Below are 23,727 nucleotides of genomic sequence, written 5' to 3'. Positions count from 1 at the left end.
GCACAGCAAAAGAAACCACCATCAGAGTGAACAGGCAACCTACAGAATGGGAGAAAAATTTTGCAACCTACTCATCTGATAAAGGGCTAATATCCAGAATCTACAATGAACTCCAACAAATTTACAAGAAAAAAACAAACAACCCCATCAACAAGTGGGCAAAGGATATGAACAGACACTTCTCAAAAGAAGACATTTATGCAGCCAAAAAACACATGAAAAAATGCTCATCATCACTGGCCATCAGAGAAATGCAAATCAAAACCACAATGAGATACCATCTCACACCAGTTAGAATGGCGATCATTAAAAAGTCAGGAAACAACAGGTGCTGGAGAGGATGTGGAGAAATAGGAACACTTTTACACTGTTGGTGGGACTATAAACTAGTTCAACCATTGTGGAAGTCAGTGTGGCGATTCCTCAGGGATCTAGAACTAGAAATACCGTTTGACCCAGCCATCCCATTACTGGGTATATACCCAAAGGATTAGAAATCATGCTGCTATAAAGACACATGCACACGTATGTTTATTGTGGCACTATTCACAATAGCAAAGACTTGGAACCAACACAAATGTCCAACAATGATAGACTGGATTAAGAAAATGTGGCACATATACACGATGGAATACTATGCAGCCATTAAAAATGATGAGTTCATGTCCTTTGTAGGGACATGGATGAAGCTGGAAACCATTATTCTCAGCACACTATCACAAGGACAAAAAACCAAACACCGCATGTTCTCACTCATAGGTGAGAATTGAACAATGAGAACACATGGACACAGGAAGGGGAACATCACACACTGGGGACTGTTGTGGGGTGGCAGGAGGGGGGAGGGATAGCATTAAGAGATATACGTAACGCTAAATGATGAGTTAATGGGTGCAGCACACCAACACGGCACATGTATACATATGTAACAAGCCTGCACGTTGTGCACATGTACCCTAAAACTTAAAGTGTAATAATAATAAAAAATAAATAAAAATAAAGATAAAAAAATAAAAAAATAAAAAAAAAGAAATCAAAGCCCTGCCTTTCCTAGCTGCCCTTGCAGCCACGAGTGGCCGCAGGATCAAGTATTGACCAATGAAATATAAATAAAAAATTTTTTAAAAATCTGCAGGGTTGGGGGTGGGATTCTGGAAAAGATTTTGTGGAGGTAAAGAATTCACTCACCATTTTGATTGTGGTGATGGCTTCATGTGTGCATATGTGTATCAAAACTGATCAAACTGTATACTTTAAATATGTGCAGTTGGTTGTATGTCAATTATATCTCAATGATGCTGTTTTAAAAAACCCTGCCCAGTCTCTGGGGAAGACTGGTTTTCCTAATCAAAGAAAGCTTCAAAGAATGCCTGAAGTCTGGTGGCTCCCTGATAACCAAGAGTAACAAATACATAGGCAAGTTCAAGAGAGTTCCTGAGATGTTGACTCTAACCCAGCCAGAAGTCACCTTCTTGCTATAGGAGGAAAATAAACACCTATTTGTTTGAACCCCTGCAAATGAGGTTTTGGATTCCTTGCAGCCCAAAGCTTTCCTACATTTACTTAGGTGCTCAATCAATATTTGCTGAATAAATGCATCAAGGATTTGATAAACCAATGAGATGAGAGGAAGGAGCAGTCTCTCTGGGCTGGAGTGACCAAGAAGTCTTCTCATTTGGGTCTGGAACTAGAGCTGGCTCTGGCAGGATGGGTGGAATTTGGCTAGCAAGAGAAGGTGCAAGGAAGGGTTCAAGGCAGGGAGGGCAGCAGGAGCCAGGCACCTCTGCCCAGGTAGACCCTCCCTCTGAGGCAGCAGCAGGCGTCCTGCCTCCCTCCATCTTGGCTAATAAGCCAGCCCATAGTTTACTTTCCTCCCCACATTCTTTTTTTTCAGTGGCAGAAAATTACAGCTGACAAGTGGCAATTGATCTCTTCACATTATTTTGAAGCGGTTATATTGAAACAGGAAACAATGCTTCCAGGAAAGAGCCCAATAACAGAGCCGAACACAAAGCTCCCTCTAAGATAGACAGGGGAGGCCAATTTGCACTGCATAGAAACTGACCAAATTTCCTTCTCCTGAAACTACAGTTAATTATTGCCTGGAAATCTTCAAAGATAACTTCTACTTCCGTCCAGGGAATGGAGACCAGGCCCGAGTCCCCAGGTGACCTAAAGAGGGGTGAGGTGCCTTGGGCCTGTCAGCACTCCCAAACAGGGAGCCCTTAAACTCCCACATATCAAGAGGGGATCTATGGACTTGAGTCTGGGCACAGGAAACCAACATGCGCAGAAGGCATTAGGCTATAATTCCCCAAAGTTAGAACAGCTTAGGACCCTTAAAAGAAACAGATTCCTGCAGACCCCAATATTGACTTAAAGATTGTATTTGAACACTACTTAAATTTTTACAAACCAAAGGTAGGAATAAACTTCCTTTGCTTATAGTTTATATATAATGGGAAACAAAAACATCATTCCAGATATAAAAATAAGCCATAAAACCAGCAAAAGCAAATTAACATCAATTTAATGCAAAATATTTAATGCTGCTTTGCTGCACCAAATTTGCACCTGTGACCTGGGTATGATGCCATTGCCACAGAGCCAATCTCTGTGTGTTTTTCATGGTGTGTCACTGTGGCAGTTTGATCAGGGCAATTTCTTGTCACCCCTCTCTTCTGTCTCCTGGAACTTCTGTTCACGTGGCATGCCTGGAGAGGGAGGTTTCAAAGAGCCTGTCTTGACTCTTTCCTCATGAGTCTGCAGCAGCTCATCTGGTGCCAGCATGACTGTAACACAAACAGGACATGAATGTGTAAGGGGACACTTTGGGGGCAAGGTGTCCTTTAGATGAGTGGCTCTCAGACTCCGTAGTACAGTGGAATCACTTGGAGAGACTTTAAAAATGCCCGTGCTCAGCCATACTCCGACCAAGTAAGTTGGAATCTTTTAAAACACTCCCTGGGTAATTCTGAGGGGCAGCCAAGTTGAGAGGGAATGATCTAGATCCATTTCTCAAGCTTAAGCATGTCTCAGAACCCATGGAGAATGTGTTTAAACCCAGAGGGCTGGGCCCCAGCCCCAGAATTTCTGATTGTGTAGTTTTGGGGGTGGGGGAGCATGAACAATTGGCATTTCTCACAGGCTCCCAGGTGATGCTGATGCTGCTGGTCAGATGACCACATTTTGAGAACCATCAACATAAATGATCGGAATAAGCTTATATTCACTTGCTACAGATTATCATAGAAATTAAAGCCTTCGCATTATGAACTCATGGATTCCAGAGAATGCATCTGAGAACCCCAGCATAAAAGTGTCCATGTAGTGACCCTGGAAGGACTCAAATCCCTCCTCTACTTATATTTAACTATGTGGTCTCTGGCAAACCATTTACCACTCTTTGAGCCACAGTCTTTGATGTAGTGAGATGGGTATAACATCCATCTCACAGATAAGCTTAGAAAACGCAGTAAGGTGCAATTGAAAGTCAGACATTGGTAGGTCAGGGAGAAGGCTGGGGTTTTGGTTCCAGCTCCACTGCTTGCTGACTGTGTGGCTTTGGCCACTGTGCTTATTAGCATGGTAAAGATGAAAAAATGGCTAATAACAGCTGGCAGACTTGTTATGAGGCATATATATATATGAAAGCACTTTTTAAACTGCAAAGCACTAAATGGCTTATTTTATAAATTAAGATATATTTCAGAGGTAGTTAGAGAAACCTGTGAACCTGGCTAGAAAGGAACTGTCCACACTTATCCATCTCTTCTCTCCACCTTTAGGGTGGGTTTCCCTAAAGGAGGACCTAACAAGCAGTTTGCTGAGAAGCCCCCTGTGTTTGCAAAGCTGGAAAATGATATGAATCCCAAAGATGGGTGCCAGTAGGTGACCCAAAGAAGGGAGCCTATTTAATCTCCCAGCATTTACTCTCAAAGGAAGCTGTTGGAATGAGCTCCTCTTCACTATCTAGCTTTCAGAGGAAACACAACTTCTAGTTGGCTTACATGGTGTCAGGGCAAAACAAGAATTTTTAAAATAAGGAAAAGTAGAAGGTAGGCAAGGAGAGGGTTACTGGAAGGAGACCACCCTCAAAGGACAGAGATCTTGGCCCCTCGCTTCTCTGCCCACTTGTAGTCCCTGTCCATCTTCGTCCCAGCCGTCAGTCAGGATCATAACAACGGTAACAGCTTTGCTGTCCCAACACCACAAACTCTTTGAAGGCAGCTTTGTGCCTCACCCACTCATGGCCCAGCTCTTTGCTTTGTGCTTGATTTGTAACTGATGCTCATTACAAGTTGAGTGAACGCTTGAATGGATGAAACCAATACAAAATTGTAAAGACATCCCGGCAAGTTAACTCACAGCTCACAATTTTGCTGATGATTCAGCATTAGTAAGACAGCAAAGGGGATGGCATTTTATGTATGAGGAAACCAAGAGGAGGCTTGGAAAACTGAGTAACATGGCAGCATTTGAATTTTGGTCTAAGGGAACAATTTATTATTTACCTTTCTTCAACTAAGTTCCAGGGGTAAAGTGCAGGATGTGCAGGTTTGTTACATAGGTAAATATGTGTCGTGGTGGTTTGCTGCACAGATCAACCCATCGCCTAGATATTAAACTCAGCATCCATTAGCTATTCTTCCTGATGCTCTCTCTCCTGCCATGCCCCCTGCCAGGCCCCAGTGTGTGTTGTTCCCCCACCATGTGTCCATGTGGTCTCATTGTTCAGCTCCCACTTATAAGTGAGAACACATGGTGTTTGGTTTTCTGTTTCTACATTAGTTTGCTGAGGATCACGGCTTCTAGTTCCATCCATGTCCCTGCAAAGGACATGATCTTGTCCTTTTGTATGGCTGCATAGTATTCCATGGTATATATGTACCACATTTTCTTTTTTCCATATTTTATTTATTTATGTATTTACTTACTTATTTTTATTATACTTTAAGTTCTGGGATATATGTGCAGAACATGCAAGTTTGTTACGTAGGTATACATGTGCCATGGTGCTTTGCTGCACCCATCGCCCCATCATCTACACTAGGCATTTCTCCTAATGCTATCCCTCCCCTAATCCCCCACTCCCTGACAGGCCCTGGTGTGTGATGTTCCCCTCCCTGTGTCCATGTGTTCCCACTATTCAACTCCCACTTATGAGTGAGAATATGTGGTGTTTGGTTTTCTGTTCCTGTGTTAGTTTGCTGAGAATGATGGTTTCCAGCTTCATCCATGTCCCTGCAAAGGACATGAACTCATCCTTTTTTTATGGCTGCATAGTATTCCATGGTGTATATTTGCCACATTTTTTTAATCCAATCTATCATTGATGGGCATTTGGGTTGGTTCCAAGTCTTTGCTATTGTGAACAGTGCTGTAATAAACATACGTGTGCATGTGTCTTTATAGTAGAATGATTTACAATCCTTTGGGTATATACCCAGCAATGGGATTGCTAGGTCAAATGATATTTCTGACTCTAGCTCCTTGAGGAATCGCCACACTGTCTTCCACAATGGTTGAACTAATTTACACTCCACCAACAGTGTAAAAGCATTCCTATTTCTCCACATCCTCTCCAGCATCTGTTGTTTCCTGACTTTTTAATGATCACCATTCTGACTGGCATGAGGTGGTATCTTATTGTGGTTTTGATTTGCATTTCTCTAATGACCAGTGATGATAAGCTTTGTTTCATAAGTTTGTTGGTGGCCTAAGTGTCTTCTTTTGAGAAGTGTCTGTTCATATCCTTCACCAACTTTTTGATGGGGTTGTTTGTTTTTTTTCTTGTAAATTTGTTTAAGTTCCTTGTAGATTCTGAATATTAGCACTTTGTCAGACGGATAGATTCCAAAAATTTTCTCCCATCCTGTAGGTACACTCTGAAGACAGTTTATTTTGCTGTGCAGAAGCTCTTTAGTTAAATTAGATCCCATTTGTCAACTTCAACTTTGGCTTTTGTTGCCATTGCTTTTGGTGTTTTAGTCATGAAGTCCTTGCCCATGCCTGTGTCCTGAATGGTATTGCCTAGGTTTCCTTCTAGGGTTTTTATGGTTTTAGGTCTTACATTTAAGTCTTTAATCTATCTTGAATTAATTTTTGTATAAGGTTTAAGGAAGGGGTCCAGTTTCAGTTTTCTTTCTACATATGGCTAGCCAGTTTTCCCAACACCATTTATTAAATAGGGAATCCTTTCCCCATTGCTTGTTTTTGTCAGGTTTGTCAAAGATCAGATGGTTGTAGATGTGTGGTGTTATTTCTAAGGCCTCTGTTCTGTTCCATTGGTCTATATATCTGTTTTGGTATCAGTACCATGCTGTTTTGGTTACTGTAGCCTTGTAGTATAGTTTGAAGTCAGGTAGTGTGATGCCTCCAGCTTTGTTCTTTTTGCTTAGGACTGTCTTGGCTATACAGGCTCCTTTTTGGTTCCATATGAAATTTAAAGTAGTTTTTTCTAATTCTGTGAAGGAAGTCAATGGTAGCTTGATGTGGATAGCATTGAATCTATAAATTACTTTGGGCAGTATGGCTATTTTCATGATACTGATTCTTCCTATCCATGAATATAGAATGTTTTTCCATTTGTTGCCCTCTCTTATTTCCTTGAGCAGTGGTTTGTAGTTCTCCTTGAAGAGGTCCTTCACATCCCTTGTAAGGTGTATTCCTAGGTATTTTATTCTCTTTGTAGCAATTGTGAATGGGAGTTCACTCACAATTTGGCTCTCTGTTTGTCTATTATTGGCGTATAGGAATGCTTGTGGTTTTTGCACACTGATTTTGTATGCTGAAACTTTGCTGAAGTTGCCTATCAGCTTAAGGAGATTTAGGGCTGAGATGATGGAGTTTTCTAATTATACAATCATGTCATCTGCAAACAGAGACAATTTGACTTCCTCTCTTCCTATTTGAATATCCTTTATTTCTTCCTTCTTGCCTGATTGCTCTGGCCAGAACTTCCAATACTATGTTGAATAGGAGTGGTGAGAGAGGGCATCCTTGTCTTGTGCCGGTTTTCAAAGGGAATGCTTCCAGTTTTTGCCCATTCAGTATGATATTGGCTGTGGGTTTGTCATAAATAGCTCTTATTACTTTGAAATACATTCCATCAATACCTAGTTTATTGAGAGTTTTTAGCATCAAGGGGTGTTGAATTTTATCAAAGGCCTTTTCTGTATCTATTGAGATAATCATGTGGTTTTTGTCATTGGTTCTGTTTATGTGTTGGATTATGTTTATTGATTTGCGTATGTTGAGCCAGACTTGCATCCCAGGAATGAAGCTGACTTGATCATGGTGGATACACTTTTTGTGCTGCTGGATTTCAGTTTGCCAGTATTTTATTGAGGATTTTCGTATCGATGTTCATCAGGGATGTTGGCCTGAAATTTTCTTTTTTTGTCATGTCTGTGCCAGGTTTCGGTGTTAGGATGATGCTGGCCTCATAAAATGAGTTAGGGAGGAGTCCCTCTTTTTCTATTATTTGGAATAATTTCAGAAGGAATGGTACCAGCTCCTCTCTGTACCTCTGGTAGAATTTGGCTGTGAATCCATCTGGTCCTGGGCTTTGTTTTTGTTTGGTAGGCTATTAATTACTGCCTCAATTTCAGAACTTCTTATTGGTCTGGTCAGGGATTCGACTTCTTCCTGGTTTAGTCTTAGGAGGGTGTATGTGTCCAGGAATTTATCCATTTCTTCTAGATTTTCTAGTTTATTTGCATAGAGGTGTTTATAGTATTCTCTGATGGTAGTTTTTATTTCTGTGGGATCAGTGGTGATATCCCTTTTATCATTTTTTTACTGTGTCTATTTGATTCTTCTCTCTTCTTCTTTATTAATCTGGCTAGTGGTCTATCTATTTTGTTAATCTTTTCAAAAAACCAGTTCTTGGATTCACTAATTTTTTTTGAAGGGTTTTTCATGTCTCTATCTCCTTCAGTTCTGCTCTGATCTTAGTTATTTCTTGTCATCGGTTAGCTTTTGAATTTGTTTGCTCCTGCTTCTCTAGTTCTTTTAATTGTGATGTTAGGGTGTTGACTTTAGATCTCTCCTGCTTTCTTCTGTGGGCATTTAGTGCTATAAATTTCCATCTACACACTGCTTTAGCTGTGTCCCAGAGATTCTGGTATGTTGTGTCTTTGTTCTTATTGATTTCAAAGAACTTACTCATTTCTGCCTTAATTTTGTTATTTATCCAGTAGTCATTCAGGAGCAGGTTGTTCAGTTTCCATGCAGTTGTGCAGTTTTGAGTGAGTTTCTTAATCCTGAGTTCTAATTTGATTGTACTGTGGTCTGAGAGACTATTTGTTATGATTTCCGTTCTTTTGCATTTGCTGAGGAGTACTTTACTTCCAATTATGTGGTCAATTAAGTGCAATGTGGTGCTGAGAAGAATGTATATTCTGTTGACTTGGGGTGGAGAGTTCTGTAGATGTCTATTAGGTCCACTTGGTCCAGAGCTGAGTTCAAATCCTAAATATCTTTGTTAATTTTCTGTCTCGTTGATCTGTCTAGTATTGACAGTGGGGTGTTAAAGTCTTCCACTATTATTGTGTGAAAGTCTAAGTCTCTTTGTAGGTCACTAAGAACTTTCTTTATGAATCTGGGTGCTCTCGTATTGGGTGCATATATATTTAGGATAGTTAGCTCTTTTTGTTGCGTTGATCCCTTTACCACTGTGTAATGCTCTTCTTTGTCTCTTTTGATCCCTTTACCACTATGTAATGCTCTTCTTTGTCTCTTTTGATCTTTGTTGGTTTAAAGTCTGTTTTATCAGAGACTAGGATTGCAACCCCTGCTTTTTTTTTTTTTTTTTTGCTTTCCATTTGCTTGGTAAATATTCCTCCATCCCTTTATTTTGAGCCATGTGTGTCTTTGCATGTGAGATGGCTATTGTGCTCTTGAATACAGCACACCGATGGGTCTTGACTCTTTATCCAATTTGCTGGTCTGTGTCTTTTAATTGGGGCATTTAGCCTATTTACATTTAAGGTTAATATTGTTATGTGAGATTTGATCCTATCATTATGATGCTAGCTGGTTTTGTTGCCCATTAGTTGATGCTGTTTCTTCATAGTGTCGATGGTCTTTACACTTTGGTATGTTTTTGCAGTGGCTGGTACCAGTTTTTCCTTTCTATAATTAGTGCTTCTTTCAGGAGCTCTTGTAAGGCAGGCCTGGTGGTGACAAAATCTCTCAGCATTTGCTTGTCTGTAAAGGATTTTATTTCTCCTTTGCTTATGAAGCCTTACCCTGGCTGGATATAAAATTCTGGGTTGAAAATTCTTTTCTTTGAGAATGTTGAATATTGGCCCCCACTCTCTTCTGGCTTGTGGGGTTTCTGCCAAGAGATCTGCTGTTAGTCTGATGGGCTTCCCTTTGTGAGTAACCCGACCTTTCTCTCTGGCTGTGCTTAACATTTTTTCCGTTATTTCAACCTCAGTGAATCTGATGATTATGTGTCTTGGGGTTGCTCTTCTTGAGGAATATCTTTGTGCTGTTCCCTATATTTCTTGAATTTGAATGTTGCCCTGTCTTGCTAGATTGGGGAAGTTCTCCTGGATGATATCCTGAAGAGTGTTTTCCAACTTGGTTCCACTCTCCCTGTCACTTTCAGGTACACCAATAAAATGTAGGTTTGGTCTTTGCACATAGTCCCATATTTCTTGGAGGCTTTGTTTGTTCCTTTTCATTCTTTTTTCTCTAATCTTGTCTTCACACTTTATTTCATTAAGTTGATCTGCAATCTCTGGTATATTTTCTTCCGCTTGATTGATTCAGATATTCATACTTGTGTATGCTTCACGGAGTTCTCATACTGTGTTTTTCAGCTCCTTCGGGTCGTTTATGTTCTTCTCTAAAATGGTTATTCTAGTTAGAAATTCCTCTAACCTTTTTTCAAGGTTCTTAACTTCCTTGCATTGGGTTAGAACATGCTCCTTTAGCTCGGAGGAGTTTGTTATTACCCACCTTCTGAAGCCTACTTCTGTCAATTCGTCAAACTCATCCTCCACCCAGTTTCGTTACCTTGCTGGCGAGGAGTTGTGATTCTTTGGAGGAGAAAAGCATTCCGGTTTTTGGAAGTTTCAGCCTTTTATGCTGGTTTTTCCTCATCTTCGTGGATTTATCTACCTTTGGTTTTTGGTGTTGGTAACCTTCGGATGGGGTTTCTGTGTGGATGTCTTTTTGGTTGATGTTGCTGCTATTCCTTTCTGTTTGTTAGTTTTCCTTCTAACAGTCAAGCCCCTCTGCTGCAGGTCTGCTGGAGTTAGCTGGAGGTCCACATGAGGCCCTGTTTGCCTGGGTATCACCAGTGGAGGCTCAGTTGGAAATGCAGAAATCACCTGCCTTCTGTGTTGATCTCACTGGGAGCTGGAGACCAGAACTGTTCCTACTCAGTCATCTTGCCAGCCACCTATATGTACCACATTTTCTTTTTCCAACCTACCATTGATGGGCATTTGGGTTGATTTCATGTCTTTGCTATTGTGAACAGTGCTGCAATCAACATACACACGCATGTATCTTTATAATAGAATGAGTTATATTTCTTTGGGTATATGCCCAGTGATAGGAATGCTGGGTCAAATGGTATTTCTGCTACTAGATCTTTCTGGAATTGCCACACTGTCTTCCATGATGGTTGAACTAATTTACAGTCCCACCAGTAGTGTAAAAGCTTTCTTTTTTCTCTGCAACCTTGCCAGCATCTGTTGTTTCTTGACTTTTTAGTAATCACCATTCTAACTGGTGTGAGATAGTATCTCATTGTGGTTTTGATTTGCATTTCTGTAATGATCAGTGATGAGCTTTTTTCATGTTTGTTGGCTGTATGAATGTCTTCTTTTGAGAAGTGTCTGTTCATGTCATTTGCCCACTTTTTTATGGGGTTGTTTATTTCTTGTAAATTTTGTTTTAAGTTTAAGGGAACAATTCAAAGTGTTTGCAAGAACTGATGGATTTTGAATTAGTTATAACCTTTGAGGGAAAAAAAGAGAAAAGATCTTGATGTCACTTTGGACAACTCACAACTCAATGAAAAAGCCAGAACACAGTGGCCAATTTCATAATTAAAATGTTCAGCCTGATTGAGGAAGGGAGAAAGGAGATGGAAATTATTTTAACATCAGCATGACAAGTCCATTGAGAGAGGGACTCTGATCATCTCCTCCTAAAGATACCGGGACCCAAACCAAAAGGGGAGAGAGTCAAGTCCCAGGTTTGTGAACAGCAGCAGGTTCAAAGAGTTTCCCCCTTTTTAGAAAACTGAGAAATAACAGCTGGGAACAGAGGGGAATCCGAATCAGGAACTCCCATTTATCTTATTCCATTGGGCAGAAGCCAACAGTCACTCAGCATGAAAACCCTAAAATTTAAGGCAGAAAGAGGGAAATCGCTTTTTCTGGGCTATGTCTAATTAACCCTTGGAGCAACATGGCTATTTTGTTTTACTGCAATTTCTCGCTTAAGAAGACTCCAAAATAAAGATTAAATATGGGGTGTTCATGAGTGGTTATTCTCACCAGGATGTAACAGCAGAGGCCATCAATCCTCCTGCCCAAAGAAGCCAACTGGGGCCAACCAGAACATCTCTGCTGCTTGCTAAGGGAATGAGTTTGTTTTCTGGAGCTGCTGCCTATGATTGCAGTGGAGAAAGATGATCTGAAAAGTCAGCCGTGAATTTATTGCTGCCCATTCTCCAAGGTAAATAAGAGTTTCCTTTGTCTGGTGTATCCTGACTGTTGACCCTGAAGCTCCCAAAACTAGACCTTGTAAGTAGACACTCACTTTCTTAAGGTTGTCTTTCTGTCTTTCTTGAGGTTTAAGGAAGAGTTTCTTAAATTGTTGGAAAAGCTATTTGAAGAAAAAAAGGAAAGAAAAGAAAGAAATCCTTAGCCTGCAGGTGATCAATTACCCTGGACGAAAACCCATTTGAAAGTCTTCTCAAATAAGCTGTGGAGCTGGTTTGAATGCTTAAACAGACATGACAGCCCAACTTTCCGGTGAAAGATCTGCTTTGGCTCCTAGTATAAATAGCTGCATTAGCACCACAGGCAGAGAATAACACAATCTCCACCTTGAATATGCCAAATGTCCTCATTATTCAAAAGGCATGCAAACTGGCCAGGTGCCCTGTTTAAATGAAGAGACACTGTGCAAGCTACATGAGAGTCAATGACAGGCACTCTTCAGTTTAAGCACGTTAGTTTTACAAAATGTGTAATTTTCAGATGTGATAAGGCATGGAACTATTTATAAGGCTTATTGGGACAAAATGATCTTAAAGACCTCTTCTACCCTTAGTATTAGCCCATGATTGTTTGGACTTCAGGCTATGTGTATCATGTATCAGAAAGTGGCCTCTACTGGTGAGGTATGATATTGCAGCCCAGCTCAAGTAGTCGTGGTAATTACAGCTAGCTTGTAAAGGGGAGTACTTCATATGATATCAAAATATTTGGTTGAGAATAAAAAGTAAACGCCAAAAAGTCTATGCTGAAACAATCCTTAAATGAGAGATATGCTAAGGTCTGTGGAGTTCTGAAAAGGTGGCAAAACATAAACAGCACACCATGACTCAACTTATCACAACTTCCCACACACCAGAGAGAGTAAATGCTGATACAAACACTTAAAATATCTTTGATTCAGTATTTTGAGATATGCACCATATCTGATTTTGTAATGAAAGCCAATGGAAAAGTGATTTATTTGGCTATATTCTTATACAACCAACTTAAAAATGTTTCTGTTGCATGTAACAATCACACTATGTCTTCTGAGTTTTAAAGAGCACACAGCTGGTTTCCAAAGAAAAAAGGCTGACCTGTCAAGATACTTTAAAACCTTGAGTCAGAAGGATGAGGTGTGATGCACAGAAACAACATATCAGAGTTGGGAGGACCTTAGAAGGCCGTCTCACTCAATTTCCTCATTGTACAGATGGAGAAACTGAGGGCCAGAGAGGGGTGGTAATGTTCCAAGAGCCTTTCAGTGAGAGGTTAACCTAGTCATTAGTAGATTCAAAGCTTATTGCTACCAGCCCAGGGTTCCTTATAATTTCATAGCCCAGCTCCTGGATTTTCCAATGAAGTTTCTATTTAAATGGACTGTCCTATAATTTCTGGAAGAGATGATTTTCTATTGGAAATTCCATAAGTTCTGCACCAAATTATATTTCCCAGACTGTCCCTACCCCCAGGAAGTGGAAATTGTAGTTATGGGAACATCACATCCCTCTAATCATATTAATCCAGATAACTGTGTCAACATGGCAAGGTGGACGACTAGGCAAACAAAAGCACTAGAAGGAGGAGCCCATCCTAGCCCACTTTCAGCCCTCTTCTAGTAGGAGGAGCAGCTACCGCTGCCCAGCTTCCAGAACCTCTTCTAGGAGAGAACTTCAGTGCCCTTCAAGAGACAATTACAGTCATCTTAAGGAAAGCGGAATTAGAGGGAACGAGCCTCCATGGACTCCAGAGCTTCTCCCCTCCCAACATCCCTTATGTTCCTGATAATGAGTCCTGTCTTTAAACATTACAACCCTCAATTAGCTCATAATTGCTCTCCATGCCGTATGAATTATGCATTGTGCAATGCAAATTCAGGTTCCCTGGCACTGGACAAATCACAAGCTGTTGAAGAAGCTGGAGTAATTACCAAAACAATCCTAGGAGCCCTGGGGAAAATGAACATTATCTGGTCTACAGCCCATTCTTCTGCCTTGTCTTCCCCACTTTCAGCCTGGTTCACCCCCCACCCCACTCAGCTTCAATACATAGTTGCTGGGTTTTGAGCAAGGACTGCATGCCAAACAAGGTGCTAACTGACGTATATCATACTTTAACATTTATAGTCTTCAAAGTCCTGTGGGGCAGGGGCCACAATTCTACATATCACATGACTTCACTTTAAATACCCTCTCCTCCTGGAATTTCTGAGTTTCACCATGCTGGGGCTTGGGTGAGGTTCACCTTTGTGGTATAAATGGAAAAGAGGGATTATTTCAGCAAGTGACAAATGTCAAGACAAAGGATGGCTTAAAACTATTAAAAAAAAGACAAAGAGGGCACTTTAGAAGCATTCAATGTGTTAATTACAAGGCAAATTACATTTATTGAAACTACTTCTTGAAAACCTCCAAGGCAGGGTTAAGATATATATCCAAAAGCATTAAAATCACACTTCCTCCCATATATTCAAATTCATGCATGCAGATTCTCAACAGTCTAACCTTTCATACAATTTTCTCAAAGCAGTTGGTTAATACTGTACATACACACCATACATACACGTGTGTGTAATGATTATATAGAGTTTAATGGTTATATCAACTTTAATGGTAAGAAGAGGACATGTGTCCCTCCATGATTCCTACCTTCCTTCCACCACCATTTCTAGTTTCTAATTTGGAGAGTAACACATCACTGCAATTATGCTCATATCTAGGCTGTTTCAACAAGATATATACAGATTTTTATATCCTAAGCATTTGCAGCAAAAAAAATTATTCTCTACAAGTTCATTCAGCTTAAGGAGGCAAATGTTTCTCTCTAGCCACTATGAGTTTTTGAGATAAATGTATAGCCTTGTCTTCTTTGCCCTGCCCATCGTTCATGAAAATCATGCTATGCTAACTGTTGCTTCAAACTTTTAATTATTGTGAATTTCCTCATTAATTTATTCATCCTTTAAATGTTTATTTAGGACCTATTATGTGACAATATATTGAACTAGGAACTGGTGTTGCCAAAGATAAATAAGGTGTATGTGGTCTTGTTTGTTTGTTTGTTTGTTTGTTTGTTTCTTTATTTCTTTGATGGAGCTTCACTCCTGTCACCCAGGCTGAAGTACAGTGGCACAATCTCGGCTCACTGCAACCTCTGCCTCCTGGGTTTAAGTGATTCTCCTGCCTCACCCTCCTGAGCAGCTGGGATTACAGCACCTGCCACCATGCCTGGCTAAATTTTGTATATTTAGTAGAGACAAGGCTTCACGAAGTTGGCTAGGCTGGTCTTGAACTCCTGACCTCAGGTGATCCACTTGCCTTGGCCTCCCAAAGTGCTGGGATTACAGACGTGAGCCACCGCGCCAGGCTGTGATCTTGTTTCTAAGTAGCTCAGGGTCTAGAGCTTATAGAAGGCCACTTTAGCTTGAACCAATTACATGTGTTTAGGGTTCAGTAAAGTAAAGGACTCTGAAGAGGCAGGCTTGAGTTCAAGTCCTAGAGGCACTATTTAGTAATTATAAGGCTCAGTTTCCTCATCAGTAAAATGGGAGTAAGTGACAGTATAAACATACAGTGTAATGAGCACTCTTTGTATAGCATTTTAGAATCCTTTTATGCTTCTTGAATGTCATGCATGTACCAATTTAAATTTTTACTTTAAAAAATGAACAAGCAGACACCGTTTTGAAATGAATGCTGACATGGAATGGATCCCAGGGACTCCTTTTTCCTCCTGCTCTCTGTCCAAGGACAATTCACCTATCTTGTCTGATTCCCGCTCTCTTCATCAGACAAAAGGTGAAATTGAACAAGTGACCTTTAAGGTAGCTTTGATATTGGAAGGTCAATGATTTTATTTGTAGGTAACAAATCACAAACCCCTCTGGTGGTCTTCCTATGGGCAGGAAATCTGATTGGGGTCAGCCCAGTGGGGTAGAAGAAGGGTTATGATGGGTGGGCGTTGCCTAGCGGCTTGTGAGTGATGTATCCAAAGAGGTGGCAAGAGAGGGAGGCAAGGCCAGGCATTGAGAGACATAAGATCATGTATCAAACTTGACGGGTGAAATAGAGTTTAAATAGAAGAGCAAAATCACAGTTGGTAGCACAGGAGTACAAAAGATTGATGTAGGGTCCAGGCAGATGAAGCCTGTTTCTTCACATGGAAATTTGTTCATTCATTCACTCATCCAACAAATATTTAGTTAGTGCCTATTTAGCCAGTCCATGCTAAGTATTTGGGAAGCAGTATGAACAAATAGGCATGGCCCTTGTCCTCATGAGATTGACAGTCTAGTGAGAGAATCAGACATTTATAAAGAAACTCTTAGGGCTATATAATTATCAGCCCTAATGACTGCTCTCACAGACTATCCCAGGCTGTCCTAGAAGCAGAAAAAGCAGACTAAATCTAGTCTGCAGGCAGGGAACCAGTCCAGGAGGAAGTGACATATAAGCTGTGATATAAAGGATGCACTGGAATTAACTAAGTCAAGTCAAGGGAACAACTTCCATAAATGACATGTCCAGTGAGACTCTATTGTGTATAGATTTGGGTGTTTCCAGCTTAGAATGGAAAGGAGTGGGGAAATTCCTTAAAAGGGCTGATCAAAACAGAAATGTGACACATTTTGTTTTCATCAATAAATGGGCTTATATAAATATACAGAAAGCATCAAAATATTTATCGTATCAAAGTTTCCGAGACTGCTGGAGCAATGACTATTTCTCATGGAGGAAATCAGAGTTGATCCAGGTTCTTGCTTTTCATGAGTGGACTCTCCCAGCATTTTAAGAGCAGCGGGTGAGTCGGTCTTCCAAGCAGAAGCTGGACACGAGCCCTGGTTAACCTTAAATGGACTCTCTCCCCTCATCCTCTCTCCCTGCCCATGACCCTTCCTGAGGGCCACTGTTTCTCTGCTCGCAGAGAGGATAGAAGGCAAGACACGAGGGAGATGCAGATTCATAAACTTTACAATTATTCTAATGCTTTCCAAGTGTGTTAAATAGCAAAGTCATTTCATTAAATGTTCATAAGTGTTATGTGGGTTCAGAATGCAATAATTTTGGCAAATGGATCAAACAGTTATGCAAGCTTTTGTTGTAGGCCTTATCAGAGCCTTTGATATTTTGTAATGTGCACTGTAAGTCTCTAATTGAGGATACAACTTGCAATATTTTCCAAACATATTTGACCACAAAACATGCTTTCCCTGGAATATTTCTTGGGTGTGTTATGTTTCAGAATTCATCTTGGTAAATACTGTTTAAATGAGTAACTGAAAGTTAGGGTTTAAAAGTCAAATGGATTGGGCCAGGCATGGTGGCTCACGCCTGTAATCCCAGCACTTTGGGAGGCTGAGGCAGGTGGATCACGAGGTCAGGAGTTCGAGACCAGCCTGGCCAACAGGCTGAAACCCCATCTCCACTAAAAATACAAAAATTGGCTGGGCATGGAGGTACACACCTGCAATCCCAGCTACTCAGGGAGGCTGAGGCAGGATAATCGCTTGAACCCGGGAGGCGGAGGTTGCAGTGAGCCAAGATCGTGCCACTGCATTCCAGCCTGGGTGACAGAACGAGACTCCATCTCAAAAAAAGAAAAAAAAAAAGAAAAAGGTGAAATGGATCTTAGAGGCCACCTTGTCTAAACTTCCACCTAGAGAGGAATATGAATAAAAACCCACTGAGCTAAATTCATTTCTTTTACATTATTCCAGGCATATCTCTTACACTGTGAATGTTGTTAAGTTGTAGGAGAGAAAAGTGCTGTAAAGGAATAAGGATATCCCTGCATTTTACCAGGTAACTATGGGTAAGTCCCTACTCTGGCCTTCAGTTTCTCTAGAGGTTCAATGAATACCATGCATCTTTGGGTTGCTGAAGATTCAATGCTGTATGAAAAGCACCTGATACTGAGCAAGTTACTAGATTTCCCCCTTCCCACCCTGAAAAATAAGCATCATGCTTTACATAAATACTGCATGCAAATATTCTATATGCAATATGCAAATATTCAAGACATTTTTTACAATGTTGGGTTTTGTCCTTGTCCCTAAGGGAACATATTAATGCAAAGTAAAACACTCTGTTCAATTCTGCTGGTTTAGATGATGGCTCATTCTCCCAGGAAGCTCTATTTTATAACCTGGTGTTAAACTTCATTAAATACAAATACTCTGGAGTTTATCATCCTTTATAGGAACCTAAGCTTCAGAATTACAACATTTCAAAGTTTGGGCTCCCTTATGTTTTAGAAAAGTAGAAATAGACTCTACAAGGGGAAGTGACTTGTGAAAGGTTACCACATGAGCTAGAAGCAATTGCAACCCCAGGTAAGCTAGTCATGTCTAGCCTGGGGCCTTTTCTCCAAATCAGCAACTCCTCATTTCTTTTCTTGGAAACTTAAGCTCCAGCATGCTGAAGTGTTTGCTCTTGAATTCTCTTACCTCTGGAAACCAGGAAACTCGATGGATTTTTGTCTTCTCACTTATTTGAGAAGATGCAGTTTGTTGAAAAGAGAATATATGTCAACAATCTGAGTTGGGTGTTTTATGCCAAACAGAGGATTCAGCGTGTTTTATGCCAAACAGAGGATTCAGCATGTTTTAGTGGGATTTGAACTGGAGTCCAAGCTGGGCACAGTCCTCTCTCTTTCTGCAACTAATGAGAAAGGAAGTAAAACATGCTCGACTGTAGGCAAAAGTCTCCTTTCTGTTGTACACACAGGGGAACAGGTGCCAGGCCATGGCCCTGACAGTTATGCAAATCAGTTGTGCAGATTTTAAAAACAAAAACAAAGGTAAACTGACTCTATCTGAGCATAACATTTTATGCAACATGAGCATAAATAACAAGATTCTTCGCTTCTTACTCTCTGGTACTCACGCAGGTGACAGCTTCGGCAGCACTGTGGGCGGAGCCATAACAGACTGGAGCTTGTGGGTCCGGCTTCTAAAGTTGCTCCTCCTGTGACCTTGGACAAGTCACACTTCCTCCTGTCTGATACCTCATCTGCTCTGTGGGGGATGTAGCTGCTTGCCTTTTTATAAGAATTAAATGAAAGACTGGAACCAAACATTCACTCCAATATCTTATTGCTACTCCAGGGCAGGAACCAGGCTCAGTGCTGTAGATGAATGTGATGGTCCTTTGCCCACAAGGGACCCCCCCACCCCCGCTGTACTGGGCACTCTCACTCCAGATTCTGTAATAGGTGTGCTCATCACGAATCCCAGCAAAGTCCTTGCAAAAGAGCACAGATGTGCAATGCAGGCATTTGCGATTCACTGAGATGAGGTGTTTGTTCGTTCTGGGCCCACATCAGAGACCTGGGTTTTGCAGCCATTGTGTTCTGGGGTCCATGAGCTGAAGAAGGGATTCTGTGAGTGATAGTCTGGTTTGCTTGAGCAAAGATCTGAGAATCTGCCAGGTAAGGTTTCAGACAGATTCCTGAAACTATTTTTAAGAAGAAGCTACTCTAGTAGTAAATGCTAAGTGAGTGTGTCTCCAGTGGGCAGGTCCTGGGATTGGCCTCCAAATGTGACAAGGAGACTTCAAGAGGCTATCAGGGGACATGGTGTTACAGTTAACATAAGCAGTACAGTGTTAGAGGATCTTGAAAGGCCCGGGCCTCCTCACTTCTATGGTGACACCAGAGAAGGCAACCAGGTTTAGACATCTCAGAGATCAAATGGTTCTATAATCACCCCCAAAAGGTGGCTAGAATGTTTTCTTCCAACCTGGAAAGTAAAATCCTAAATTCAGAAAAGACACCCCCCCCACCCCCCACCCCCACCCAGAGGCATCAGAACAGAAGGCTTGGGATGGGCTGTAGATGTCATCTGGACCATGTCTAATGTTCCAGGTGAGGAAACTGAGGAAGGAGGACTTGCAAGAGGACACACAGAGAGTTAGTAGCAGGGCTGGTTCTGAAACCCGACAAGCTGGAGAGAGTCAACCCCTGGAGATTGAGCTCTCTGAACACCAGCCAGTAGGGGGAGCTCCGTCTCACGGGTGGTGCTCAGTGTCTCCTGGCAGGGGACAGAGTGCCCTGGTTAGAAAGTGGGTTGAAGGCGCATCTGTAAATCCAAGGCTGACAGAGGAGGCCCTGTTGTCCTATATTTCTCCTCTGTAAAAGCCCCTGCCCACCCACCCCAACGAGTTCCTCCTGGGTCCCTGGGAACCATGAAAATTGTCCTGTCCAAGTTGAAGGCATAGAAGTGCCTCCTGAAACTTGTGAGTTTGTTACTCTCGGCTGGAACAATGATGGAGCATTACCTGTCTAAGCACTCTCAGGGAGAGCATTGGCAGAGTGGCTTCCGGGTTACGGGGAGGTGGAATTCAGAGTGGGCATAGGAGGGCATTTTTAACCAGAGAAACGTGTCCATTCACCTTTGCAGACATTTACTGAGCACCTACTATGTGCCGGGCACAGGACTTTCACCATCCCAGACAGCTAATCAATGCCACGGCGGACAACCTTCCTTCTGAATGTCAGCCGCCCAATCCTGGGCTTTGTGCTGGCTCTCTTTCTTCCTCACTCTCTTTCTTTCTTTCTTAAGCCACCAACAAAACTCTGACCTCTCCCCACACACACAATGCAGGCAGTCACTCATGCATTAACAACCACCAGGCCCCAAAGGTCGTTTCTATGACAACCCCGGGGTCCTTAATGACCCTGGCAGGCCAATGATTTTGTTTTGTTTGAGAGTGAAGGAATAATAAGTCAGTCCAACTCGCTCGGGCGCTCGCCTCTCTCCCCGTCGCCCCCCTCCGCCGCCTCCGCTGATATACTGTTCATTATCTGGCTGCTGCATCAGCTCCAGAGACGGGGCGGCAGCCAGCTCTGAAAGACAAGAGCCTGGCTGCAGACAAAGAGCTGTAAAGGACCGAGTGTGCCCTGCATCCAGGGCTGCCCGGGGTTCATTAATTCCATTGCCCGCTAGAAAGGAGAGTGGGAGCAAGGGCCCTGGGGTCCTTGGTTCCTAGAGTCCAATGGCACCAGCATGAACCCCAAATCACCGTGCAACTCTTCAGAAAGAAGCGTGTGTAGGGCCCTGTTGGGAGACCTCTCTACCCAGGAGGTGTGCCCAACTCGCCGCCAGCCAGCACAGCTCCCGAAGGCGAGACGTATCATTTTAATGATGGGTTGAACAAGGCAATTAATGTGCAGCCCCACCAGCTTCCATATGGATCATCAGTAACTCGGGAGGCTGGGCCTGATCACCCAGACAAAGGAGGGCAGCATGGCGTCCCAGCTGATTCCCGTCCACTGGCTCCGGTGGGGCGTTGCCCTCTGGGTTCTCCAGTTCCGGATTTCTGGTTCTACCCTGAGAAACTTCCTGGGGAGGAAGCTTTCATTGTCTTCTGATCTTGGGGCAAATAGGCCTCCAGCTTGTCACATTAATTTTCAAACGCGATGTTCGGCAGCGTGGGATTTTGCTAGCAGACACTTGGAATTATTTTTGTTGTGTGTGCACAACTGAAATCCCCTAGAATAAGTCATTATCCTCTTTAAAAAAAAAAAAAATCAGCTCCTACTGGCTGCCTGGTGGCCCAATCAGCTGACTCATTTTCCATCTTTCCCTGAAGTAATTAGCGTTTTCATTTTTCCCAACCTGCCTATTAGATAAACTCCAGGATCCCATTCAGTGGAAGCACATTTTTGTGAGTTGACTTGCCTCAGCCTCTCCCCAAGAAACAAAAGAAGAAATCTGGAGAAAGGCACAAAGAGATGTGTGATTTAGGCTCCTGTTCTCTGACATGGACTGTTTATTAATCAAGGAGATCGATAAAGGGGGGTGTGCTGTGGCCAGGGTAGGGGGGCACCGTGGGTGGACACCAGCATCAGCTGTTGACCCTAGCACAATAATGGAAAAGGGTATTTGGTCATTCAGTAAACAGTTACTGAGCACAAACCCTGGGGTGCAGAAACACAGTGCTGCTTTTAACAGTGGCAGCACCCGCTCATCCCATGCCCTCTCTAGGGTTCATTTCTCCTCTGTTGAGTGAGGGGCTGGCTCTAGATGAGAAGTGGAAAACTCTGGGGTTGCATGGGCCAGGAGACAGTGTCAATGGGGGTGTGCAGTGGGCCTGGGCATGAGGACTTGGGCAGGCTGGAGGGCATTGAAACTGTCTAAAATGGGCAGCCACAGGTCAGCTCCAGCACTTGCTGTGTTCCAGCATGTAAGGGCAGGATGGCCACATCTCCTGAGGGTTTCAAGAGAAGACAGAATTTGGAATTATTAAAACGTGAAATCTGCACATTTTTAGATGTTTTCAAGTAAATCTAATTTTTTAGAAGATTATGCTGGTCAAAGAAACACATTTGGATGAAGCAAGTGGTGCCAGGACCACCAGTTAGTTGCTGTGCTCTAGACTTTTGTGATTTCAAGTGCAGTTGAGTGAGCAGGTATAGCAGCAGCTGCTGGAAGCTTGCGAGGCATGAGGATTCTCAGACCTTGCCCCAGATCCCCTAAATCATAAACTGGATTCTCCCTATGCATGTTAAAGTTTGGGAGGCAATGCAGTGAACACTCAAGGTCTTTGAAATGGGCTGCGACAACTCTAGCATTTTCTCTGAGTACGGATTTGCTCACTGTACCTCCTGTGCACACCTTTCATTGCAATCCAGGTAAGAAAAAAGTCCCATCAGAGTATGAGAGACCAAAGTGTGTGGGCTCAGCCAAGGGGCCCTGGGGGCTTGTCTGTTCGAACCTCTTCCTCAGCAAGGGGAGAATTCAGCTGTCCAGTACAGAGAGCTGTTTATTCTCTTCTCCAGGAATGGGGCTGCTGAGTCTCATCATAAATGTAATATTTTTCCTTTCCTCATTTCCTATAATTTGCAGTCATTGGCACAACTGACCATGATTCTTTCCTGAAATTCCCTCCTCCATTGGGTCCTTCCTCCAATGGTCCCTGAACATTATCCTGGTTTGTAGCCCAATTATTCTAAAGACTTTAGTCTCCTCTTATGTTTCTCCTTCCTTCTCTAACATTCTAAATGCAGGCTGTTCCCAGATCTTCTGCTGTCTTTTTCTGTCTCCATCACAAGAGTGTTCCTCTAAGCACTTGGACTTCCAGATCCACTCTCTTGGCTTCCATCTCTCTGAGAGGCAGTGGTACTTTTCAACTGCTTGGTCCCACTTCAGGCTGAAATAATCAAGAAGGAAAACATCACCCTTGCCCTAGAGCTCATTCTACTCCTGGTTGCATGCTCACTTTTAGTAGCCTCATCACTCAGGTTCCAGACTGGACAACAGCCAGGCATAACAGAAGGAAGTGAAGTCTTTGCCTGGTGCCGACCATTCAGCCTAAGTTTCACGTGGACTACTCTAGGAGTAAGTGATCTACAAATTGACAAGTCAGCAAGTTGATTTTATGAGCTTACCTTGTTTTCAACTCTCTTATTATTAACATTTATTTTCCACCTTTCTCTGGTCCAAATCCAAAAGTTGCCAAATGTAGTTGATCTGACCTCCTGGATCTCTCTTGCCACATGCCACCTCTGTTGCCCTACACTGCATCCTCACCTGCGTTGCTGCAATCACTTCTAGGGTTGAGCCTTTCCAGGGACCTCCAGGTTACTCAGCCCAAGGAATAGTGCTAAATGAAACTCTGCTTGTTTAAAACCACCAATGTGCCCTCATGCCTCCTCAAGGAAGCCCAGAGTCTTCATCTTGACTTTCAAAGCCCTTCACAACATGACCTCAGTGTGTCCTGCATGCTTCTGCATCACACATGCCAGATCCTCCAGACAAGTGAAAGCTGTGAGTTTTCATGCTACCAGCTAGCCCAGGACACTTCCAATAGCTGGAATGTTCTCCTACTATCAAGTTCACCTAAACACCTGCAAGTTGGTTCTGGCTCCCTGAGGCAGCAGATATCTCCACTCCTCTGAGTTCAGTGCTACTTTGTTCCTTCCCCCTGTGTCACATCATGGCTATTGGTATTAGTCAGCTCAGGCTGCTATAACAAAATACCACAGACTGGATGAG

The 23,727-nt window shown here is 42.4% G+C and overlaps 1 long non-coding RNA gene across 1 annotated transcript in view; it reads left to right on the top strand.

The window, feature by feature from the left end:
• LOC105378379 (uncharacterized) overlaps positions 1–23,727 on the top strand; it is a 112,024-nt gene that overhangs the window by 67,063 nt on the left and 21,234 nt on the right. The window contains exons 2-3 of the long non-coding RNA XR_946100.2: positions 11,529–11,706; positions 17,449–17,533. This is a non-coding gene — a long non-coding RNA (uncharacterized LOC105378379). The remainder of the gene's footprint in view (positions 1–11,528; positions 11,707–17,448; positions 17,534–23,727) is intronic.

Source organism: Homo sapiens, chromosome 10 (assembly GCF_000001405.40).
Source record: "Homo sapiens chromosome 10, GRCh38.p14 Primary Assembly".
Classification (NCBI taxonomy): domain Eukaryota; kingdom Metazoa; phylum Chordata; class Mammalia; order Primates; family Hominidae; genus Homo; species Homo sapiens.
The sequence above is the reverse complement of the archived record's forward strand: the minus strand, read 5'-3'. Positions and strand labels throughout refer to the sequence as shown.